The sequence below is a fragment of the Homo sapiens genome, chromosome 11, assembly GCF_000001405.40.
Source record: "Homo sapiens chromosome 11, GRCh38.p14 Primary Assembly".
Lineage (NCBI taxonomy): Eukaryota > Metazoa > Chordata > Mammalia > Primates > Hominidae > Homo > Homo sapiens.
The window spans coordinates 113,974,151-113,991,547 of NC_000011.10; the positions used below are offsets into that span (position 1 = coordinate 113,974,151).

At 49.5% G+C, this 17,397-nt stretch overlaps 1 protein-coding gene across 4 annotated transcripts, besides 4 other annotated features; it reads left to right on the top strand.

Moving 5' to 3' along the window:
* Positions 521–1,182: an enhancer, noted in NCBI's record as "H3K4me1 hESC enhancer chr11:113845393-113846054 (GRCh37/hg19 assembly coordinates)". NCBI's record gives its function as "activates a minimal SCP1, AML or CMV promoter by ChIP-STARR-seq in naive H9 embryonic stem cells {active_cell/tissue: H9 hESC(naive)}" and the evidence as "EXISTENCE:reporter gene assay evidence [ECO:0000049][PMID:30033119]".
* Positions 958–16,163, top strand: HTR3A (5-hydroxytryptamine receptor 3A). 4 transcript variants are annotated; one of them, NM_000869.6, is made up of 9 exons: positions 958–1,242; positions 3,621–3,772; positions 5,083–5,127; positions 7,053–7,162; positions 8,970–9,139; positions 11,865–12,025; positions 12,368–12,578; positions 12,675–12,896; positions 15,315–16,163. In NM_000869.6, the coding sequence occupies exons 1-9, from the start codon at positions 1,176–1,178 to the stop codon at positions 15,611–15,613; spliced, it is 1,437 nt and encodes a 478-aa protein (NP_000860.3). In that variant the 5' UTR covers positions 958–1,175; the 3' UTR covers positions 15,614–16,163. The 4 variants fall into 4 exon arrangements, 3 of the variants coding, with proteins under 3 accessions (NP_000860.3, NP_998786.3, NP_001155244.1); NM_001161772.3 differs by lacking the exon at positions 958–1,242 and adding an exon at positions 3,350–3,426; NR_046363.2 differs by lacking the exon at positions 11,865–12,025.
* Positions 1,183–1,842: an enhancer, noted in NCBI's record as "H3K4me1 hESC enhancer chr11:113846055-113846714 (GRCh37/hg19 assembly coordinates)". NCBI's record gives its function as "activates a minimal SCP1, AML or CMV promoter by ChIP-STARR-seq in naive H9 embryonic stem cells {active_cell/tissue: H9 hESC(naive)}" and the evidence as "EXISTENCE:reporter gene assay evidence [ECO:0000049][PMID:30033119]".
* Positions 14,943–15,444: an enhancer, noted in NCBI's record as "H3K4me1 hESC enhancer chr11:113859815-113860316 (GRCh37/hg19 assembly coordinates)". NCBI's record gives its function as "activates a minimal SCP1, AML or CMV promoter by ChIP-STARR-seq in primed H9 embryonic stem cells {active_cell/tissue: H9 hESC(primed)}" and the evidence as "EXISTENCE:reporter gene assay evidence [ECO:0000049][PMID:30033119]".
* Positions 15,445–15,944: an enhancer, noted in NCBI's record as "H3K4me1 hESC enhancer chr11:113860317-113860816 (GRCh37/hg19 assembly coordinates)". NCBI's record gives its function as "activates a minimal SCP1, AML or CMV promoter by ChIP-STARR-seq in primed H9 embryonic stem cells {active_cell/tissue: H9 hESC(primed)}" and the evidence as "EXISTENCE:reporter gene assay evidence [ECO:0000049][PMID:30033119]".

Consider the following 17,397-nt stretch of genomic DNA (forward strand, 5'->3'; position numbering starts at 1 on the left):
GTGTGATTGCTCATGCCTCTAGTCCCTTTGGGGGACTACCAAAAATACAAAAATTAGCCAGGCATGGCTCGCATTTGTAGTCCCAGCTCTTCAAGAGGCTGAGATGGGAGGATCAGCTGAGATGGGGGAGGTTGGGGCTGCAGTGAGCAGTGATTGCGCCACTGCACTCTAGCCTGGGTGACAGAGCGAGACTCTGTCTCAAAAAAAAAAAAAAAAAGAAAGAAAGAAAAGAAAAGAAATGCTTACGAAATGATATCAAGCAAAAAAAGAGGGCACAAAATTATATGTATGTGATATTTACTTCATTGTATACACATTACTGAAGAAAATTATGGAAGAATATATACCAAAACGTTAAGAGTGGCTGTCTCTGAGTCATAAGTTTACAGATGATTTTAATTTTTCTTCATATTTTTCTACAAAGTGCATGTATTATTATTATTTTTACTATATGTATTTATTATGTATGGCAAGAATGCATGAAATAAATATGTATAGTAAAAGTTTATTTTTATTATATATTTTATTATTTTTAATATATATTTTACTATTTAAGTATAACTAATTAGATGAGGACAAAAGGGCAGACCTGTGGTGACTCCAGTTACCCTTCCCGTAACTACAGAGGTGCCCAGTCACCTGCTTGGTTATGTCACCCTGGGGAGTAAAAGAATGGTCTTCCTGCTCCTGCCTGACTCACCCTATCCTGCCCCAGCCCAGTGCCACAGAAACATACTTGCCAAGGGACATCAATGAAAGCAGCAGCGTGGTGCACCTCCCAGGGGTCAGGCTGCACCCTTGTCTCATGGGCTTCTGCAGCCCCTGTCCCCACCTAAGTTACTCCTTGGGGAAACATGGCCAAGCCCCCTGGCTGAATGGGTGGACTGAGCTCCCACAGCATGACATCAGCTAGGGCGGGCTCCCCTCTCAGCTGTCCCCTCCCCTTTCCTCCCGCCTGAAACATGATCCAGCTGAAGGACTGATTGCAGGAAAACTTGGCAGCTCCCCAACCTTGGTGGCCCAGGGAGTGTGAGGCTGCAGCCTCAGAAGGTGTGAGCAGTGGCCACGAGAGGCAGGCTGGCTGGGACATGAGGTTGGCAGAGGGCAGGCAAGCTGGCCCTTGGTGGGCCTCGTCCTGAGCACTCGGAGGCACTCCTATGCTTGGAAAGCTCGCTATGCTGCTGTGGGTCCAGCAGGCGCTGCTCGCCTTGCTCCTCCCCACACTCCTGGCACAGGGAGAAGGTAAGCAGACTTCGGGAAGCAGCAGGACTTGGCTGACCATCTGCTGAGGTGGGGCAGGGGATGCTTCAGTCCTCCGAGGGCTGTGGAGAGGAGGGTGGGGAACAGTGCAGCTGCAGGAAGGTCAGCTATCTTACCACCTATGAGCATGACAGCATTTGAGGCATCATGGTTAAGCTAGAGAGAGTTAGGAATGTTGAGTCCTGGGGTGGGGCAAGAGCGGAGCTTGCAAAGAAGGGAGCAGAGAAGTAGCCTGGCGTATCAGAAATAAAAAGACAGGCACCAGGAGGGGGCTCCTCTCCTTTTTGTCCTTTCCCTAAACTATTTGAATGAAAGCTGCAAGGGACCTTAGAACTCATTGGGTCCACCCTTGCCTGTTATAAATGGGAATGCTGTGGCCCAGAGAGTGGGGAGCGGATAATTCATTCAAGGTCACACAGCTTGTTAGCAGCAGAGTGGGGACCAGAACTAGTCTAGTCCTCTTTCCTCAGCTTCACTGGTTTTGTTGCATGAGTTCGTTCTCTGGGCCTGCGGTTCCCCAAGTTCCTTTCCAGGACTAAACTCCAGTAACGCCCAATTTCTCTCCACATTCGCTACACCCATCTTCTCCTGACTCCCTTGAATGTAGGGTGTTTTAGCCACAAAGGGACCGGCTTCCTTTTGCTGCAGACCATGTTCATTCCCCTCTAGGAGGTTTCTCTCCCTACAGAGCTGGGGTGGAGCATACTGGGGCACAATTAGAGGAAGCCATCCAGGGGTTGGACAGACGTGAAGAGCTCTGGGTAAGATGTCCTTCCTCCCGGGAGCGGTCGTTTGGGAGTGCTCCGTGGGTTAAGCAAACGCAAGCTGTAAGTGATGACTGTGGTCGAGGGCTTCCTTGACTGAGAAGAAACTCTGTCCCTCCTAGCAATGGTCCTTTGCCCCGGGCCTGCTGGGATGAGTTCAGTGCTCTCCAAGCTGGTCAGGATCCCAGTCAATAGGACCCAGGCTCTTGCTGGTGTAGTAAAGACGCACACGGGTCTGCGTTTGAATCTCAGTTCCTCCACTTGCAGAGCAAGGTGCTCACCTTTCTGGTGCTTGGGGATCCTTGTGTGCAAATAGCCACTCTGGTGGACTGTTCTAAAGTTAAATGAAGAATATGTTTATTGATGTTATTCCAAAGGAGACACTTAAAAAATAGTTTGTGTGTGTGTGTGTGTGTGTGTGTGTGTGTGTGTGTGTGTGTTCTCTCTGCTCTTCTCTGTCCTTCTGAGGGAAGCCAGTAGCTTATCAGGGAAAAGGGGGTGAAAGGAGGGGGAATCTGCAGGAGTGATTTGTTGTACAGGTTGCACACTAGATGAGAGAAGACACAGTCTTGTTTAGCAAAAGCCAGGCCTTGCCAGCACCTGGTTAGTGAAAGACCCTGGCTACCTGCCAGCTCCATCTCCCCTTTGCTGCCCGTATGCTGGCCCTCTAGGTTGTACTCCCTTCACCGTCCCATGAATTTTCACTTTTGCATGTCAGGCCACCCTTCTGGAAGTGCTCCTGCTGCTTCCAGTGTGAAAACTGAGCTGTGCATGAAATCTTCATAGAACAGCACCAGGGTCCAGGAGCTGGGCTGTCTCATTACTGGTTTGTCCCCATAGGCCACCTACCCCGGAAGTCGTTTGATTTCTTCTCACTCCCTCCACACCTCGCCCCAACCACCTATCTAAGCCCATCATGTTTGCCCATACAGCAACCCTAGGAGGTGGACTGGGCCAGCCCTCCACCCATAGCTTGTGTGTGCCTGGGGCAGGGTGCGAGGATCCTCTTGGGGTGGCTTTTGCAGGATGTAGAGGAAATGTCAGTTTTCACCAGATGCCCACACTTCCTTCTTTCTTTACCTGTTTCATACTCAAAAAGGAGATGTTGTGTGCAGATGCTGAGGTTTGACCTTGGCTGAGGAAAACCCTGATGCAGACCCTTGGGCTTAGAAATTGTGCACTTGGGGTCATGCTTTCTTGCAACCCTCTTGCTTTTAGTATCATACCCTGAGAGCCAGCTTCCTTGTTGCTCCCCAGAGGCCCTCGCTTAGGCCCCGTGGGCCACCTGCTCCGACCTTCTTAGCCCTCAACCTGATTTGAATCTCAGCTGTCTTGTGCCACTTGCTCTTCCAAGCCAGATCTCTGCTTTCCTGTCAATGAATGCATAGGTCCTTTCTACAAGGTAATACATTTGAATTATGGTAGAAATCTCTGCAGACAAAATGCTCTAGTGGTGAGAATGTCAGTCTGTGTTTAGAATTTTGTGAGGTGGGGATGGTGGGGATACGTCTCTTTTAACAGCTTACAAACCAGGACAAGAGAACCGGGGGAAGTCTTGGGGGGCTGGTGTCTACTTTGAACTGTTCTCCTTCCCAGCCAGGAGGAGCCGAAACACCACCAGGCCCGCTCTGCTGAGGCTGTCGGATTACCTTTTGACCAACTACAGGAAGGGTGTGCGCCCCGTGAGGGACTGGAGGAAGCCAACCACCGTATCCATTGACGTCATTGTCTATGCCATCCTCAACGTGGTGAGGCTCAGCCCCGAGCTGCACACAGGCAGACCTTTTGGGGGTGGGAGAAGGCCATGTGAGACAAGTCACCCCCTATGCAGCTTGTTAGGCATTTGAGAACCCATAGGACCTACGGTCTGGCACCACAGCTCAGGATGGATTGTAGCATCATCTGCACAGCTGCCCAAACCAGAAACCTGGGGTCACCTTGTGGCTGCTGCTCCCACACCCATACAGTGAGGGGGTCACTTCCCACATGTGGTTCTTCATACACTGCATAATGATAACCATCTCTCTATGTCAGCTGTATGAGGATTAAGACGGTCCCATGCATCTCTATGCTCCCAGTGCCTTACACACATCCCTGGTACCTGGCAGGTGTCACTAAATGATTGTTGAAGAATCAGCCAACAGATCAATTATTCCTCAATTCCTTCATCAACTACCACAGTAGGGTGGGGTGCACTACTCAGAAGAGGTGGTCAGACATTGTGCAGAGATAAACAAGGAGGCAATTGCAGAGATGCAGTGGCTCTGTGTTGGGGTCAGGTAAGCAGGACCCAACTTCACAGTGGCTACTAATTTTAGTCTAGTAAAATTACTCTACCAAAATTAGTCAGCCCTCCTGACTAATTTTTGTATTTTTAGTAGAGACAGGGTTTTTCCATATTGGCCAGGCAGGTCTCGAACACCTGGCCTCAAGCCATCCACCTGCCTAAGCTTCCCAAATTGCTGGGGTTACAGACGTAAGACACTGCTCCCGGCATTATATGTATATTAGAAGTTGAAACATAAATCACTGTTGGCAGAGCACAGTGGCTCACACCTGTAATCCCAGCACTTTGGGAAGCCGAGGTGGGCAGACCACTTGAGGCCAGGAGTTCAAGACCAGCCTGGACAACATAGCGACTGCATTTCTACTAAAAATGCAAAAATTAGTCGGGCATGGTGGCACACACCTGTAGTCCCAGCAACTCAGGAGGCTGAGGTATGAGAATCGCTGGAACCTGGGAGGTGGAGGTTGCAATGAGCTGAGATTGTGCCACTGCACTGCAGCCTGGGCAACAGAGCAAGCAAGACTGTCTCAAAATAAATTAAAAAATGAATCATTTTTACTTCTTTCTGCGTATGCTCTAGTGAACAACTAACTTTTCCTGTCTGGCCAGGGAGCTCCAGTCTATCTACTTTCCCGACCCCGGCCCCTGCTCTTCACTTTCACTTCCCAAAGCAATAGGGACACAAGGAAGCCCCTCCTTTAGGGGCTGGCATGTGCAGGGTGGCCCTCCAGTCCACAGGGTTACTTGTTCAAGCTCCCTTTCCTTTCCCAGGATGAGAAGAATCAGGTGCTGACCACCTACATCTGGTACCGGCAGGTGAGCAGACCCGCCCCTCCCTGCCCCCGTTACCCATCCTCCTGGGAAGGAGTCGGGAATTCGGGAGTTTCAGTGGCCTTGGCGAGGGAAGGTGAGCGGAGAGGCTGAGGGGCACCCTCAGCCTGAGATCCAGGAGTGTGGAATCTCCTCATCTCAGGTCTGAGAGTGGAAGTAGGCTTAAAGATAGTGGAGGAGAAACCCTCCAAACCCCCTCTGGCTTCTGAAGTTCTTCAAAGCACCCCAAACTATGGCTTGTCCCAGCCTCTGTTGAAAGGAACTCATGAGCCAGCCCCTTCACTCTCAGCCAGCTCTGTTTGCTAGACCATTCTTCCTTCTATTCAGCCAAATTGGACAGCAACCAAATTGGGTGATTGAAACAGGATGGTTCGTTCCATCCACTTAGTCCTCACATCCTCAGCCATTTCCCCACTCTTTTAGCTTCTGATGGGCCTGGGTCAGCCCCTGGTGTGTGGATACATCTGAGGCTTGGCAGGAATTATGGCTTTGAGCTGGGGTGGGGTAGGAAAAGAGTGGAGGTCACTATCCAAGGGTCCTGCTCTGGAAGCCCCTGGGGTTGTTGGGAAGTCAGAGCAGAGGAGAAACTAAAGTGGCTGAACACACGGAGGCAGAAGCATGAGGACAGCTCACAGAGGTCATGCCCAAGAGGCTCTGGGGACATGCTTGGCATAAGTGGGTCTCTGTTATCCCTCCCCATGGCTCATGGCACATCCATCACCACCACCAGACATGGGACAGGGCGTGGGGTAGAGGAAGAAGCTAGAATGCTGATCCCTGAGATGCTGCTCTGTCCCTGCCTCGCAGAGGGATCCCTTACTACAGTGTCCAAAGGGAAGGGACCCAAACAAGTACAGGCAGCCTGGAGCTCCTTTCCCAGGACATCCGTCTGAGCTCTCACCTCTGGAGCTCTAGGGCCACTTGTCTGTCCCAGTTACTTGCATCAGCAGTGAGGGAATGACAGTCTACATGCACCAGCAACTGTGCTAAGAGACTGGAATTAGAGACACGAACTAGATCGAGGCCCTGCCCACCATGAGCTCACAGACCAGATACAGGTACTGACAACTGAAATGCAACAAGACAGCCACTCCAACGTGGCAAGGACAAGGTGCTAACTATGGGAGCACAGAGGAGACGCATGTCACCCAGCCTGGGGTGTGGGGGTCATGGACAATGTCCTGGAGAAGGGAACAGACAGATGCCTTGGCCAAGCCCAGAAGGCTGAGGAAAATGTACCTTGGTAAAGAAGATAGGGGAGAGGGAGCAGGATACGCAGAGACATGGAGGTTCCAGCAGTGTTTCATTGCATACGGCTGCAGTGTAGAAGTCACAAAGAGGCATGGCCAAAATATGAGGCTAGAGGGATAGCGGAGGTCAGATTATATCAGCCTGTGTCGGCTGTGAAGTTTAACTTTATCCTAAAGGCAATGGGGCACCCCTGAAGGATTTTAAGCAAGGGAGTGACATGATCGAATTTACATTTTAGACTGGCCATCCTGGCCTGAAAATGGAGAATATATTAATGAAAACTTAACAAGAGCGGTCTCCACCCTGTGAAGGAGATGTTATGATCTCCATATAAATATGTTGAGACCAAGATCCAAGAAGTTATTTGTCTGAGATTCTCAGCTGGCGGAGGGGGAACTCACAGCATTCGAAATGACTGACTTCCTTCCTGGGGCAAGGCTACATCTAGCCGAGTTGTTATGTGTGGAGGCAGAGTGTGAATGAAGAGGTGGGGGGACTCTCAGTTACTGCTGAGGGAATTGGGCGCCACTGACACCAGCTTCTCCCAGGAAGATGCCCACCTGTTGCCTGGGCACTGAGGGTGAAGTCTGCCTGAGTTGCAGGCGACCCTCACTGGAGATGGAGGGGGCTGCCTGTGACCATCCCTGCTCCTCCCCTAGTACTGGACTGATGAGTTTCTCCAGTGGAACCCTGAGGACTTTGACAACATCACCAAGTTGTCCATCCCCACGGACAGCATCTGGGTCCCGGACATTCTCATCAATGAGTTGTGAGTACCGTTATCCATTGTGAGGTGGCTGGGTGGCTTAGGAGCTGGAGAAGCCCGGGGACAGAGAGACAAGATTGTCACTGTTGCATTTGAGATGTCCCACCAGGAATTGCAGACTGTAGATAAAGCTGGTGTGAGTCCAAATTCCCTTTGTCTTCCCCCCCGACCTTTTTCTGTTCTTTTCTTTTTGAAAACTCCTTCTTTTCGGTGCTTGATGTTGAAATTCCATACTTCGTAGTCCAGGGGCCCCTGCCACAGGGAAAGAAACCAGTGAATGAATTAACACTGAGTTATAATAACCTAATGGGACAGCTGCACTTATAAAGGAGACAGTAAATGTTTATTTAAAAAAAATGGAGCACTTGGCCAGACTCAGTGGCTCACACCTGTAATCCCAGCACTTTGGAGGCCGAGGCGGGTAGATCACCAGAGGTCAGGAGTTCAAGACTAGCCTGGCCAACATGGTGAAACCCCATCTCTACTAAAAATACAAAAATTAGCCAGGCGTGGTGGCGAGCACCTGTAATCCCAGCTACTCGGGCAGCTGAGGCAGGAGAATTGCTTGAACCTGGGAGATGGAGGTTGTGGTGAGCCGAGATCACACCATTACACTCCAGCCTGCTGGGCGACACAGCAAGACTCTGTCTCCAAAAAAAAAAAAACAAAAAACTGGAACACTGATAGTGGCTGCCACTTCTGGCCCGCAAAGGAGATTTGGAGCTGGGGGACATGTTCAGACCTCCCAAGTTACCCATCTACCTGACAGGCCACAGATTGTTTCTCCAATACGAAGTGGGTTCCACCAGGCTTTACTCCTGGCAGCCAAACACGGTCCCATTTGGCCCCAGACAACATTCCTTCTCCCCATCCTGCAGGTTCATTCAGGGCCCACCAACTGGGTTTCAGAATTCAAGGGCAGGGAAGATGGCTGGGGAGACGGAGGAAAAGGGAAGGTGACAGGTGGGATCAGCCATCCTCTACCCCATACCCACAGCATTGTCCAACTCCAGGGGGTGCCACTGACATTTTTCCAAGGGGGTAGTTGACCTGGACCACACACCATCCTCTACATAGCTCAGGCTGGAGGGCTCTGGGAAATCCCAGTTTCTGCTGGCTCTCCAGTTTCAACAGTGAAGTGGCCTTAGTCTTGACTTCTCATCTCTCAGCATGAACTCACAGAAGGCTGAGGGCTCAGCCTACTCCATGCCACAGTGGTCACTCAAGAGGGCCTACCACTTTGACATCAGCTGAGAGAGTGGAATGAGGTCTTGTGGGGCTTTTCTGGCTTTCCCCAATTCTTATCCATTTCTCTAGCTCCTTTTCATCCAGAGATGATTATTTTCATTTCAAAGGACTTCCAGGGGTGGGAAGCAAAGAGAAGCCAGAGTCAGGATGGAACACAAGATCCTGCTCTTTCACCAAGCCTGCCTGGTCCCGCAGGACTGGCGATCCTGGGAGCCAAGCTTTGCCCAGCCCAGGGCAGTGACGGGTTGGGGCCACTGGGCACGCTTCCTACTGTCCATGGCTTTTGGGCCCATGGGTTTTCCTCCCTGCCTTGTGTGGCCAGGAGCCAGGGGAATAAAGGAGAAATGCCCATGACTGCTTGAAAACTAGCCTTGACAACGGCAGGTCAGGAAGCCTAAGATAGGAAGGTTGGAAAAACCGAGGCCAGGCAAAACATCCAGGTTATCCGGCTGCCTATACCCTCCCCGAACTTCACTCCCTACCCAGTTGTTCCAAGATCTTCAGGCACCCAGAGCTTGCCCTGTCTCTTGAGCTCCCAAACTAACCCCTTTTCCCCCGCCAGCGTGGATGTGGGGAAGTCTCCAAATATCCCGTACGTGTATATTCGGCATCAAGGCGAAGTTCAGAACTACAAGCCCCTTCAGGTGGTGACTGCCTGTAGCCTCGACATCTACAACTTCCCCTTCGATGTCCAGAACTGCTCGCTGACCTTCACCAGTTGGCTGCACACCAGTGAGTATGTGGGCTTCGCCGGGACAGGGGTGGAGGTTGGGGGACCCCAGGGACACCTGAGCGAGGAGTGCTCCCCAGGGCGCCTTCTCACGTATCCAGCCTACTAATGCCCTGGGCCTCTGCTTCCTCATCCTCTGCATGAGGTAGATCTGCTGCTCTTGCTGCCCCAACAGTAAGAGTTAAACACTTTTATCAGTAGAAACTTCATATAGCACAGTATATTTTTCCAGATCCTTCTCTACACATTTACATTCACACATTCATGTGTGCGTATATATACACACATACACATCTATGGAAAGTACATGGAAATTGCTTTATGAGTTCTTATTTTACATTAATATATCAGTATTCAATGAGGGTGTGAACTGACGGCAAGACGCTCAGTAAGGGACAATTTTTTTCCAATATCTCCAACAGGATCTGGCACTAAGCATCTCTCAGATCCATTTATTTCACTTCACCCCCATGCAAACCACCCTCGTCTCCTGCCTAGGTTTCTGCTTTAGCCTCCTAGCTGGTTTCCCCATGCATTCGTGTCCCCCTAAATTTGCGATTCTCACAGAAGCCAGTGAGATTTTAGTAAAATGCGAATCTGACCGTGTCACTTAAAACCCCTCAATGGGATCCCAGATACCCTGGAACACAATCCACCCTCTTGAGCTGACTGCCACAGCCAGCTGCTCCAGGCTCATCTGCTCCTCTGAGCTCTGCTCCCACCCAGCTGCCTTCCTTTCTAGCCCCAAACCCTCATATTCTTTCCCTTTATCACATGTTGTTTCCTCTCCTATGCTACCTGGCCCTTTCCTCCCTCTCCCAACTTGCCCCACAGCTGCTCCCCCCAACCACACCTAGCCTGGCCAACCCCTCTACTCACCCTTCTGATGGCAGCATAAGTTTCAGCTCCTCAGTTTACCCTCTCATCCCCTAGACTAGGCCATCCCTGTTGCCCAATTTATAGCATCCTGGTCCTCTCCCCACCTCTGTCACCCTTGTAAGTACTTATTCAATGTGTCCTTCTCTCCTAGATATAAACTTAGAAAGGGGCGGGTGCAGTGGCTCACAAATGTAGTCCCAGCAGTTTGGGAGGCCAAGGCAGGAGGATTGCTTCAGCCCAGGAGTTTGAGGCCAGTCTGAGCAACATAATGAGACCCTATAAAAATAAAAAGTAAAAAAAACTTGGAAAGGGCAGGGACATGATTTCTCGCCCACCTTTAGATCCCCAGCACAGGGCCTGGCACAGAGGAAGGGTCTCAGCAAATGTTACCGAGCAGATGAATGCTAGCTAAGGGCTTGCCAGAGGGCTGGTGAAATGCACACCACCCTGTTGCAAGAAGGCATCCCCCAGGCCGGGCGCGGTGGCTCACGCCTGTAATCCCAGCACTTTGGGAGGCGTAGGCAGGTGGATCACGAGGTCATGAGATTGAGACCATCCTGGCCAACATGGTGAAACCCCGTCTCTATTAAAAATACAAAAAATTAGCCAGGTGCAGTGGCAGGCGCCTGTAATCCCAACTACTCAGGAGACTGAGGCTGGAGAATCACTTCAACTCGGAGGGTGGAGGTTGCAGTGAGCCGAGGTTGCACCACTGCACTCCAGCCTGGGTGACAAGTCTGACTGAGACTCCGTCTCAAAAAAGAAAAAAAAAAGGCATCCCCCACTTCTGTTCTGATGTATTCATTACCTTAAACTTAAGTTATGACGGTGATGCATGACTGCCTTGACCAAAACCAGAACTACAGATAAGGCTAACGTCTGCTTTGACTTCTACCCTCAATCCCAAACTTCACCAACAACAGGAGTTAACCACTTTTATCAGTAGAAACTTCATCTAGCACAGTATATTTTTCCAAATCCTTCTCTACACATTTACATACACACATACACATCTATGGAAACTACATGGAAATTGCTTTACGAGTTCGTATTTTAGATGAATATATCAGTATATATATTATTATATACTACTACTTGATTCTTTTTACCCAACATTAGGTCTTGGACATTTTTTGGAGTTCATGCACATTTAGGTCTTCCTCAAAAATTTTAGCTGCTATAAAATAGCTCATGATTTTGGAAGGCAGCTGTGCTCACCACTACCACAAATGCAAACATCTAATGATTTTGGTTGCATCCTAGCTTATTAAGCATTTTCTGATTGATGGATATTTCAGTATTTTCCAATATTTTGCTGCAATAGATACTTCTGTCGTTCCTGGTACATATGTCTCTGCTGCAGATCTTGAGAAGTGGAATTACAATCTATAAGTGAGGATTTTGCTTATTTTCTTAATTCACTTTTAAAGATAGGCAGTTCCATCAAGGCAAAGGTGAAGAATGTTGACTTTTGTTCATTGTTGCAATGGGCAATTCTAACAGGGAAAGCTAGAAAGCTGTTTGGAAGGGGTGTGTGTGTGTGTGTGTTTGTGTGTGTGTGTGTGAAGGAGAGAGAGCGCTTTCTAATGAATGGTTTGCATGGTTCTTTGCACCGTGCATTTTCATTTAGGACTTCATCTGCCCTCAGTGCGGCCCTGTGAGATAGGTATGGTGAGTACCTTATTTTATAGCTGAGGACACTGAGGCTGAAGGTGATGTGCTGAGGTTGAGGTTGGGCCATCGGATATCAGCTCCCCTTAATTGCTGCCCACCTGTGTCCCATCATCACAGGGTCCAGCAGGCTCTGGGTACTAGATTCCAAAGCTGGCTTGCTTTATTCTCTCTCAGTCCAGGACATCAACATCTCTTTGTGGCGCTTGCCAGAAAAGGTGAAATCCGACAGGAGTGTCTTCATGAACCAGGGAGAGTGGGAGTTGCTGGGGGTGCTGCCCTACTTTCGGGAGTTCAGCATGGAAAGCAGTAACTACTATGCAGAAATGAAGTTCTATGTGAGTGGGAGTGAATGTGGGTAAAATGGTGAATAAAGCTTCACATCCAGGTAGACTTAAGGAGGCATACTGGGAGAACTTCTATAGCCTTTTTCCAACCCCAGGGTTGCACACATCTGGAACTTCAGTGAAGTAGATGGAGAAACTCCATGAATGTCCCTTACTTATTCTAAACAGCCATAAGCCTGGATTGAGAGGCAGGGTATGGGGGTCTGTCTGTTTTCTTCTCTGAGCAATCCAGGCTGGAAGCCCCATAAAACAAGGAATCTGAGCTTGTGGGGTGGTTCCTGGGAGCAGAGCCTGTTTGCCCCAGGCTTCCCACAAGCTCTTCTCCGGTCCCAGGTGGTCATCCGCCGGCGGCCCCTCTTCTATGTGGTCAGCCTGCTACTGCCCAGCATCTTCCTCATGGTCATGGACATCGTGGGCTTCTACCTGCCCCCCAACAGTGGCGAGAGGGTCTCTTTCAAGATTACACTCCTCCTGGGCTACTCGGTCTTCCTGATCATCGTTTCTGACACGCTGCCGGCCACTGCCATCGGCACTCCTCTCATTGGTAAGGCCCCTCCTGGCAGCAGAGCTCAGTCTGGTGAGAAACCCGCCCCCTCCCACCTCCTGCATGTGTCTCTTGCCTCTGCCCTGGGCTGCACAGGTGTCTACTTTGTGGTGTGCATGGCTCTGCTGGTGATAAGTTTGGCCGAGACCATCTTCATTGTGCGGCTGGTGCACAAGCAAGACCTGCAGCAGCCCGTGCCTGCTTGGCTGCGTCACCTGGTTCTGGAGAGAATCGCCTGGCTACTTTGCCTGAGGGAGCAGTCAACTTCCCAGAGGCCCCCAGCCACCTCCCAAGCCACCAAGACTGATGACTGCTCAGGTGAGAAACAGAAGGGAAGAGTCCATACAGAGGGGCTGCTTCTGGCTTGGATGTTGTGGAAAGTCTCTGGAGGGCGTGGCCTGCCAAGGAGGTGCTGTACTGCACATGGCATCCCATGCCCTGCCTTACTTGGGGTGGGGGCAGCCTTCAGCCAAAGATGTCAGTCCAGACCCTTTCTTCACTTACACAACCTCTCATTACCTTGGGTGTTGACAGAGAGGGTATGAATCCCAGAGGCTGAGCATGTCAGGAGCTGAGTCCTCTGGGCTGAGAATGGCCTCTCTCTAGGATGGACCCATGGGTGAAGTCAAACGGATGCCCCTTAGGCAATTATTGGTCTCCCTGCCTCACACGGTTAAATACTGCCACTGGGGTTTCTAAAACTCTTATACTAAACAGCCCAAAGCAGGGCATGGTGGCTCATGCCTACAATCCCAGCACTTTGGGAGGCCGAGGTGGGAGGATCACTTGAGCCCAGGAGTTCGAGACCAGCCTGGCCAACATAGTGAGACCTCATCTCTACTAATTTTTTTTTTCAAGTTGGCTGGGCATGGTCATGCACTCCTGTGGTCCTAGCTACTTCAGGAGGCTGAAGTGGATCACTTGAGCCCAGGAGGTTGAGGCTGCAGGGAGCTGTGTTCGCATCACTGCATCCCACCTGGAGATAGAGTAAGACCCTGTCTCAAAAATAAAAATTAAAAACAACAAATACACAGCCCAAAGACCATGTTCCTTAGAATTTCAAACACCTATGAGGCAGAGAGACATTAAATGTGGAGTTCATACTTCCTGAGGAATTGTTATAGCTACCATTTGTTGTAGTTGGTGGTGGTTAGTTGGTTGGTTTATTCACTGAACATTTTGTGCCAGGCGTGTGCAAAGCACTTTGTCTACATGATCACATGTAATACTCATGACAACCCAAGAGGATTCTCATTCTCATTTTTCCAATAAGGAAGCAGAGCTATAGAGAATTTGCTTGTCCTAAATCACAGAGCCAGGAATTGGTAGAACCCAGGCCCATCTGACTCTAAGCTTCTCTTTCTAACCACTCCTCTCCACTCCACTCCCCTTTGTCCTTCCTCCTGACTAGGGCCAGGCCCTTTACATGAGATTTTTGGCTCATCTAAGGCCATCTCATCAAGAGCTAGTGAACTAGTCTGCCAGCCTACTGCCTAATTTACCTTGGTGAAGGAAGCCACTTCTGTAGGTGTATTTCCTGGTCCATGACCTGCAGTCATGGACATGAGAGCAGCACCCTCCAGCCTGCTGCCCCTCTGAGGCAACAAAATAGAGCAGAAGTAGCAGTGGATTGGGAGTCCAGATACCTGAGCCTTGGTGGTCTCATCATTAAATGATCCTCCAAGTATGTGACCACAGGCTAGTCACCTAACCTCTCTCAGCTTCACCATTTTTTATATGGTTGGAATAGTTGGCTGGGCACAGTGGCTCATGCCTGTAATCCCAGCACTTTGGGAGGCCAAGGGGGGTGGTGGATCACGAGGTCAGGAGTTCGAGACCAGCCTGACTAACATGGTGAAACCCCATCTCTACTAAAATTACAAAAATTAGCTGGGTATGGTGACACACACCTGTAATCCCAGCTACTCAGGAGGCTGAGGAAAGAGAATCGCTTGAACTCGGGAGGCAGAGGTTGCAGTGAGCTGAGATTGCACCACTGCACTCTAGCCTGGGCGAGAGAGTGAGACTTGGTCTCCAAACAAACAAACAACAAACAAACAAACAAACAAACAGAATAGTAATCACGCCTACTCTGCCTCTTTTGTGAGGCTATTGTGAGGCTCAAATGAAATAATGTGTATCAGATTGCTGAGGAAAGCCCATAGGTTGAAAAGCAATATATAGGAAGGATACTTCGTGATATTAATGATCTGGAAGAGGGGTGGAGAATGTGTGTAAGGAGGGGTATACGAGGATCCTCAGTCATACTGGTTTTTCAATTTAAATTGGATGGTGGATTTGCAGGTATGTAAGTTACTCTTTATACTTTTTATGTCTAAAGTTGTTCCTGGCCATCCACGGTGGCTCACACCTGTAATCCCAGCACCACGGGAGGCCAAAGTAGGCGGATCACTTGAGGTCAAGAGTTCAAGACCAGCCTGGCCAACGTGGTGAAATCCAGTTTCTATTGAAAAAAAAAAAAAAATTAGCCAGGTGTAGTGGCACGTGCCTGTAATCCCAGCTACTTGGGAGGTTGAGGCAGGAGAATTGCTTGAACTCGGGAGGCGGAGGTTGCAGTGAGCTTAGATCACACCACTGCCCTCCAGCCTGGGTGACAGAGTGAGAAAAAAAAAGTTATTCCCAACAAAAATTTACAGGCTATAGAAGCATAAGGAACCATGTTCAGGTCACCACCCGGGGTCTCCCTCTCTTGCCAATGCCCTGCCCTTCTTCCAGCCATGGGAAACCACTGCAGCCACATGGGAGGACCCCAGGACTTCGAGAAGAGCCCGAGGGACAGATGTAGCCCTCCCCCACCACCTCGGGAGGCCTCGCTGGCGGTGTGTGGGCTGCTGCAGGAGCTGTCCTCCATCCGGCAATTCCTGGAAAAGCGGGATGAGATCCGAGAGGTGGCCCGAGACTGGCTGCGCGTGGGCTCCGTGCTGGACAAGCTGCTATTCCACATTTACCTGCTAGCGGTGCTGGCCTACAGCATCACCCTGGTTATGCTCTGGTCCATCTGGCAGTACGCTTGAGTGGGTACAGCCCAGTGGAGGAGGGGGTACAGTCCTGGTTAGGTGGGGACAGAGGATTTCTGCTTAGGCCCCTCAGGACCCAGGGAATGCCAGGGACATTTTCAAGACACAGACAAAGTCCCGTGCCCTGTTTCCAATGCCAATTCATCTCAGCAATCACAAGCCAAGGTCTGAACCCTTCCACCAAAAACTGGGTGTTCAAGGCCCTTACACCCTTGTCCCACCCCCAGCAGCTCACCATGGCTTTAAAACATGCTGTCTTAGATCAGGAGAAACTCGGGCACTCCCTAAGTCCACTCTAGTTGTGGACTTTTCCCCATTGACCCTCACCTGAATAAGGGACTTTGGAATTCTGCTTCTCTTTCACAACTTTGCTTTTAGGTTGAAGGCAAAACCAACTCTCTACTACACAGGCCTGATAACTCTGTACGAGGCTTCTCTAACCCCTAGTGTCTTTTTTTTCTTCACCTCACTTGTGGCAGCTTCCCTGAACACTCATCCCCCATCAGATGATGGGAGTGGGAAGAATAAAATGCAGTGAAACCCTAAACTCTCTTCTTTTTTTTTTCTTTTTTTGTATTTATACATTTTGCTTGTTTCTTTTTTTTTAAATTTTATTATTATTATACTTTAATTTTTAGGGTACATGTGCACGACATGCAGGTTTGTTACATATGTATACATGGGCCATGCTGGTATGCTGCACCCATTAACTCATCATTTAGCATTAGGTATATCTCCTAATGCTATCCCTCCCCGCTCCCCGCTAGACTCTCTTCTTAACCATTTGTCAGCAGCTTTGGGAAGAGGTTGGATGGTTAGAAGAAGAGATTTACAGTTAGTTAATCCCAACACTTTGGGAGGTCGAGACAGGCAGATCACTGGAGGTCAGGAGTTCGAGACCAGCCTGGCCAACATGGTGAAACCCTCCTCTACAAAAAGAAAGCCAAAAATACAAAAATTAGCCAGGCATGGTGGTGCATGCCTGTAATCCCAGCTGACTGGGAGGCTGAGGCAGGAGAATCATTTGAAGCTGGGAGGCAGAGGTTGCAGTGAGCTGAGATCATACCACTGCACTCCATCCTATGTGACAGAGCTAGATTCTGTTAAAAAAAAAAAAAAAAAAAGAAGAAGAGATTGGTGCCTCTAGGCCCAGGAAACTGGGAGATGACAAATAGGTTGAAAAGCATTTGCACAGGAAGGATAAACACCAACTTCATGATATTAGGGATCTGGAAAAGGAGTGGAGGATGAGACTAAGGAGGGGTATACAGGGATTCTCAGTTATATTAGTTTTTTAATTTAAATTAAATGGTGGGTTTGCAGTTATGTAAGTTACTCTTTGTACTTTAAGTAGCTGTTATAAGAAGAAACACTAGGAGGTGGGATTTAAGGTATGAGGGTCAGGACCAAGAACACTTAGCAATGGAGAGAAAAGAGGGGGAATCTCGGCTTTGCAACCCCTTGGAAAGATGCTGGAAGGGTCCACACAGCCCTGTTACCTGGGCTCATGATCTTTTAGTGAAGGTGGGAGCAAGCTCTCTCCCTGCAAGTGGATACTGCAACGGAATGGAGATGAGAGCTTCAGCACCACGGCCAGCACCAGCTGGTTTGGTGTTTGGTCATTGAATACTGTCTAACTGGCCGGTTGCTCCTAAGATGAACTAGGAATGAAGTTTCATCTGATACTTCCACTCCAGACATATGTGCTTTTGATTCTAGTTATCAGGGATTCATTAGAAATTTTATATTTATTTTTGCTTTGTTGATGGATAGAGATTAGG